The sequence below is a fragment of the Homo sapiens genome, chromosome 8, assembly GCF_000001405.40.
Source record: "Homo sapiens chromosome 8, GRCh38.p14 Primary Assembly".
Lineage (NCBI taxonomy): Eukaryota > Metazoa > Chordata > Mammalia > Primates > Hominidae > Homo > Homo sapiens.
In genome coordinates this window covers 2,016,049-2,023,283 of record NC_000008.11, presented here as the reverse complement: position 1 = coordinate 2,023,283, position 7,235 = coordinate 2,016,049, and the positions used below count along the sequence as shown (strand labels likewise).

Here is a 7,235-nt window from a genome sequence, read left to right as displayed (position 1 = left end):
AGGGGGTCGGCCAGCTGCACATCCCACTGTAACCAGGCTGCTGTCCACGGCTACATCTGCTGAAAGAACTGTGAACGTGAGCTAAGCTGGGCACCGCACGGCTGTGGAGAGGGGAAGTGGCACCGGCAACCCCCGCAGCAGAGGCTTCAGTGCCCAGCAGGTCGGGGGAGTTGTCAGATGGGAGGAGCCGCGGAGCTCCTCCTGAGGGCCGGCTGGGCCCACACGTGGTTCGCTTTGCGCTTTAAACATTAGAAGAGCGAGTCCTTTGTCCCAGCCCCGGCTGCTGCGCAGCAACAGGAATGCCTAGCAACAGAAACACCGACATCTCACAACTGTTGGGTGCGGAGGCCGGGGCAGACAGAGGGAGGCAGGGAGGCTGGGGCCAGTGTTCCCAGGTCACTCGTGGTCCCTGCTGCTGTGCCTTGTGGAAGGCAGGCCTCTCTGCTGCCACTTCTTGGCTGCCCCAAGGGCAAGCACACGCACAGGCTCCTCTGTTTCAAGGGTTTATGGGGAAATGGAGAAAGGGAGAGGGGAGCAATTAGGAAGAAGACTCTCTGGTCCTGTCCCTCAGCAGTCATGATGCTGTGGTCACCGGGGCCTCCACTCTTTCTCAAGGAAGGTTCTCAGCACATTGCTGTCTTCCAGGGGCCTGGCCAGGATCTGCCTCTGTGGCCTCACTCTTCTTCTGGGTCCTGCCCCCGTTGGGAAGGCAGAGCCTCCACCCTGGGCTCAGGCTGGCTGCCTTGATTCCACCCTCCTGGGACCTGCAGGCCTCCCACGAGATGCCTCCTCCAACCTTGGCCATGATCAGTGCCGACGCCCAGCACTGCCTCAGCAGGAGTACAGAGCCCATGGACACCAGGTGCAGGAGCACGGAGCCCGCGCATGTCGGGTGAAGGAGCACAGAGCTCACGCATGTCAATTGGGCGAGTGCTACCCAGGCCCTGATCCCCTGGCTGTGGGTACTAGGACGTGGTGCATTGTTGCCTAGAGGTAGCCCTGGTTCTACCCACCCTGACACATTCATGGCATTGAGTAGGTCCCTAGTGCTCTGGCCCAGCTGGCGATGGTCCTTCCAAGTCTGGTGGCTTCACACACAGTGCAGCACACGCTAGGTGAGTCTCACTGGGCCTCACTGTCCTTCCTCCCTCTCAGCCCACCTGGCATCTCCAGAGATGCCCACTCCAGGTCCCCAGCCTCAGCCATGCTCCTCACCCCTGCCAGGCTGGTCCCTGCTCACAGCCCCTGGCATCCCAGGCTCTCTCGGCTTGGCCTCCTCCTCCAGGATGCCTTCCCTAGGTCCCCTCAACTCGGCTCCATCCCAAACTCTGGTGCCACCCTCGCCAGCAGCCCATGCCTGCCGGGCCTCACTGGATGGGGTCGTTTTCAGTTCCCGGCCGCCCCGACAGTGGGATGAGCCACGACTGCATCTCATTCATCTCTGCCCGGCTGCACAGCTGGAGCTGGGTGCTGATTCATCTCTGCCCGGCTGCACAGCTGGAGCTGGGTGCTGATTCATCTCTGCCCGGCTGCACAGCTGGAGCTGGGTGCTGATTCATCTCTGCCCCGCTGTACACCCAGAGCTCAGTGCTGACTGAAAGAATTACCTCCAGAAACGCTTTGATATTATCCAGCCGTACCCAGAATCCAAATATCTGATGTGTTCAACCCAAACGACAAACGGGGGAGCGTTTGCATTGTGCCACGAGAATGATTAGCCATTTAACTAGACAGAGGAGTCAGATAGACAGAGTGAGGCAGAAGGCCCAGCCATGCCTAAGGGTCCAGGGTCACAGAACGAGTCCACAACTCCAGCTACAAATCACTCAGCCCCATAGCTTGACCTTTTCAAAAGAACACAGAAAGGAACTTCAAAGGAAATCCTGGAATAGTTAACAAAAAGCATAAGGAATTAACAACTTCATGTTCTTTTCTTCACTGCGATGACCTCTTTAAACAGCAGAGGCCACCAAGAGTTTCTCCGATGTGTTCCCTGAGTGCCACGGGGGAGACAGGGAGCGGGTTCCAAGGTCTGGACGGTGCAGAGAATGGGCTGTTGTCCTCAATCCCTGGTCCCCATCCCTTCTACACACAGGGGAAGACAATGGGCACTCTCTGTTCTGTGTTCTGCATCTCTGTCTGCACAGAGGGGGATCTGTGACAGGGAAGGTGGGGGGAGCATTGGGGTGCAGAGCTCGCCAGAGAGCCAGAGACGTCCTTTCTGCACATCCTCACAAGGAAAGGGCCTGGGAGGCGGCAGAACAGCAGAAAAAGAAAACAAATGGAAATTGCCAAAGCCAGTTTCCATAGAAAATGTGAAGTGCTTTTATTGCATCAGCGTCCGGTGCCCAGCGCCTCTGCAGGCTGAGTGCTGACTCCCTGCTGGCTCTGCCCTGCCCCGCTAGGAGAGTCCCGGGCTGCGCAGGTGCACGTCTTGCTATCTGTGCCCGTCCAGGCTGTTTCTAGGTGACTCTGTGGCACTCTGTCCCCTCGGAGGGGACTGTCAGGAAAGCACAAGGCCTGTAGTTCATTCCTCAGTCACAATGGAATTTGACGTTAGAGCCACACAGCACCACAGTGTCAGCAAGACTAAGACACCATGTGAACCACAGAACTACAGAGCGGTTTTAGGAGTAAACATGTTCCAAATAGCAACAGCTGTTGGGCAGCTATTTAGCTGGAAAGGGAACCATGCTTGACCTCATAACTCCCAGGAAATTCATCTCAAGGAAAAGGGCAACTTTAATTAAATAGATTTTGTATCAACTTGTCCTGTATTATGACTCCAGCAGGGTCTGTTGTCTAAAACCAAAGAGAAAATGTGACTGTTCTGGCTTCTGCATGTATTTGAAGGATGACACGACATGGCGATTTTGTTAATGGACAGGCTGTATCTTTTTGATAGATTACATTTTTTCTTAGATTGTGTATGTAAGGTCAATTACATTAGGACCATTTGACGTTTCAGAGATTTTCCAAATTATGCCATGGAGGCAGAAGAAACTTTGAAGACTGTGCTGCAAAGGGTAACATCAAATTTTCAGAAAAACAAATAGCTTCACATTTTAATCTCACTCGTCTCTAAGCTTCTCCCCCCGACTGAGCTACTCAATCTGCTTGAAAGTCCAGGAAGCTCACACCGTCACACCCGAGCCTGTGATTTGATGGAGGGACGACAGCTCCCGAGATGTCTTTATGCGCACACAGGTGTTTAACGGGTGGAATAAATGTGTCAAGGTTGGAAGCCTGGTTTTGGGCAAATTACATTCTGGATCTGGAAATCACTGTGACAATTCTTCACAGGTATGTAGGCCACACGCCGAGTTGCTCACAGGATTAGCTATAAAGTCTGTGAACGTGCAAAATTATTTTGAAGTCTCCCACCGTCAGTGATAGCTGATACCTAAATTGTGTGACAATGTTCAATTCCGAGTTTAAAACTGACTTCATTTTACAGGCCTTGGGGGAAGAGGAGGCTGTGACATCCAGCCTGCACCATTCATAGAAGATGCTTTGTTCTGTGTGATTTGGGAAGGTGTTTTATAAGCCTGGTGCTGTTTATTGTTTAGCATCTCTCACAGACAACTCTCTTTCAAACCCCATTTCTCAAGCGTATCCTAATTCGACACCACCTATTGGTTATGACTTAGGTGTTGACAGTCCTGTTTAGTGTCCAATTTTGATTCCTTTTCCTGATTCTTGTTTTAGGTTTTGTCTTTTGAAGGCCATATGTAAGTGCAAGGAAACATGCTGTATTCTAATGAAACTTAAGATTTACATTCATTTTTTCAAGTGTTCATTTGACGTCCCTCCTACAATAAAAGTCTTCATCTTTTTATGTGACACTTCTCTTCAGTCAGAGCACAGCTCTCCCTCACTTGCAGATGTGAGACAGCCGGGGTTTCCTCCAGGCGCCCTCACTGTAAGCTGTGAGGCTCCCCACAACTTTCTGTTGTAGGACATAGCACATTCTTGATGACTTATTTGTGTATTAACTTGAATAGCGGTTTGTACACCTCCGTATATTAAGAGAACATGCGTGGAGGCAGAGTTTCTTATATAAAATCTATTCTTATTTCCTCTTATAAGAAATCTTGACAATAAATTAAGAGATTAGGGAGTTTACATATTGCATACTACTATTAACAAATATTAAATATTTTCATTGTTAAAAGATTAATGATTAACCCCAAAAAGAGAAACCATCAGGAAAAAAAGTATTGGATTTGATATTCAATGATATTCAATTAAGGATTGTTATTCAATAAAATATCCCACCAAAAAATGCTAACAGTTATGTGGAAGAATATATTTAACATTTCTAAAATACATAAAATGGTAATATCTAAATCTACAAGAAATTATAAATCCACAGAAAACAACAAAGAAAAAATACAAAGAAGCTAAATGGGCTGGTCACAGAAGTGAGTGGTTAACCAGTAAATGAAGGCACTTTTAGTCCCACAAGGTGGCAGAGAAATGCAAATTAAAACAAGAGATTTTAGTTTCCTATCTGATGGAGACAAATGGAAAAGTTGCATCAAAGCAAGTGTTGGTGAGAACGTGTCAGGATGCTTTGTGCTGAGGGCCGCATGTGGAAACATGACTTGGCATCACAGTGTAGTTAGAAAGCCATTATATCCAAGAGGCTTGGTGCATCCCAGAAAACCTTGCTGCCCTGTCACAGTGGAAAGCAACACTGGGAATCACCCACCGCAGTGGTCGGAACCTGAGTTCTAGCAAGCCCCCCCGCCACGTGCTAACGTGCTCTGGAGTCCCATATAAACTTAAAAGGCAGCCTAGACCACAAGGACTGCAACTCCTGGGCAAGTCCTGGTGCTGTGCTGAGCTCAGAGTCAATGGACTGGGGGGACACATGACCCAGTGAGATATCAGCCAGGGCAGCCAAGGGAGTGCTTGTGCAACCCCTTCTCCTACCCCAGGCAGCACAGCTCACAGCTCCTGAAGAGACTTCGTCCTTCCCCTGAGGAGAGGAGAGGGAAACCTGAGGAGGCCTTTGTCTTGCAACTTGGATACTCAGCCACAGTAGAATAGGGCACAGAGTCCTGAGGCCCTCATTCCAGGCCCTAGCTCCTGGATGACAATTCTAGACACACCCTGGGCCAGAAGGGAATCCAGTGCCTTGAAGAGAAGAACCCAGTCCTGGCAGGATTTGTCACCTGCTGACTAAAGAGCCCTTGGGCCCTGAATAATCAGCAGCGGTAGCCAGGTAGTACATGCCGGGGGCCTTGGGTGAGACTGTAAGACATGCTGGCTTCAGGTGTGACCCAGCACATTCCAAGCTGTGATGGCTAAGAGGAGAGGCTCCTTCTGCTGGAGAAAAGAAGAGGGAAGAATATGGGTACTCTGTCTCAGTACCATCTTGGCCACAGTAGGGTAGAGCACCAAGCAGGCTCTTGGGGTCCCCAGTCCTAGGCCTTGGCTCCTGGAAAGCATTTCTGGACCTGCCCTGGGCCAAAGGGGAGCCCACTGCCCTGAAAGGAGAGTTCTAGGCCTGGCAGCATTCATCACACACTGAATAAAGAGCCCCTGGGCCTTGAGTGAACACTGACAGTAGCCAGGCAGTACTCGCTGCAGGTTGGGAGCAATGGTGGCCACGGGGAGAGACTTCTCTGCCTGTGAAAATGGGAGGGAAGGATCTTGTCTTGTGGCTTGGATGCCAGCTCAGCTGTAGTAGAATAAAGCACCAGCTAGATTCCTAAGGTTTCCAACTCTAGTCCCTGGCTCCCAGATGGTATCTCTGGACCTGCCCAGGGCTGGGGGAAACTCACTGCCCTAAAGGGAAGGAAAGAAGCCTGGTTGGCTGTGCCACCTGCTGATTGAGCAAATTAGGCAGTAGCTGGTCAGTGGTTACCATGGGCTTTGTGTGAGTACTGTACTGGCTTCAGGTATGACCAGCACAATCCCAGTGGTGGTGACCAGAGGGATGCTTGTGTCACTCTTCCCCAAGCTACAGGCAGCTCTGCATGCAGAGAGAAGCTCCAGTTGTTTGGGAGAGAGTAAGGGAATAGAACAAGAATCTCTTCCCAATAATCCAGAGAATTCTTCTGGATCTTCTGCAAGACCACCAAGGCAGTACCCCTACAAGTCTGCAAGAGCCACAGCATGACTGGGCTTGGGGTGCCCCCTAAGATATGGCTGCAATGACTGAAAACTTAAATTCTAACACCCAAGTCCCTTTGAATACCTGAAAGACCTTCCCAAGAAGGACAGGTACAAACAAGCCCAGACTGTGAACACTACAATAAATACTTAATTCTTCAGTGCCCAGACACTGATAAACATCCACAAGCATCAAGACCATCCATGAAAACATGACCTCACCAAACAAACTAAATAAGGCACCAGGGACCAATCCTGCAGAGACAGAGGTATATGACCTTTCAGAAAAGGAATTCAAAATAGCTGTTTTGAAGACACTCAAAGAAAATTGAAATAACACAGAGAAGGAATTCAGAATCCTATCATAAATTTAGCAAAGAGATTGAAATAATTAAAAAGTCCAGCAGAAATGTTGGAGCTGAAAATGCAATTGACATACTGAATCATCCACTGGAGTCTCTTACCAGCAGAACTGGCCAAGCGGAAGAAAGAATTAGTGAGCTTGACAACAGACTATTTGCATATACACAGTCAGAGAAGACAAAATAGAAAAGAACTTAGCACGCCTATAAGATCTAGAAAATAGCCTCAAATGCTCAAATCTAAGAGGTAGTGACCTTAAAGAGGAGACAGAGAGAGTGAGGTTAGAGTAGAAAGTTTATTCAAAGGGATAATAACAGAAAACTTTCCAAACCTAGATAAAGATATCAATATTCAAGTACAAGAAGGTTACAGAACACCAAATAGATTTAACCCAAATAATGTCTCAAGGCATTTAATAATCAAACTCCTAAAGTTCAAGGATAAAGAAAAGATCCTAAAAGCAGCATGATAAAAGAAAAAAATAACATACAATGGAGCTCCAATCCATCTCGAAGCAGACTTTTCAGTGGAGACTTTACAGGCCAGAAGAGGATGGCATGATATACTTAAAGTGCTGAAGGAAAAAACGTTTATCCTAAAATAGCATAAGCAGTGAAAATATCCTTCAAATATGAAGGAGAAATAAAGGCTTTCCCAGACAAAAAAAGAGCAGAGGGATTTCTTAAACTCTAAACCTGTCCTACAGGAAATACTAAAAGAAGTTCTTCAATCTGTAAGGAAAGGAGATT

The 7,235-nt window shown here is 48.5% G+C and overlaps 1 annotated feature.

The window, feature by feature from the left end:
- Nucleotides 863-1,852: an enhancer, noted in NCBI's record as "H3K27ac-H3K4me1 hESC enhancer chr8:1969593-1970582 (GRCh37/hg19 assembly coordinates)". NCBI's record gives its function as "activates a minimal SCP1, AML or CMV promoter by ChIP-STARR-seq in naive H9 embryonic stem cells {active_cell/tissue: H9 hESC(naive)}" and the evidence as "EXISTENCE:reporter gene assay evidence [ECO:0000049][PMID:30033119]".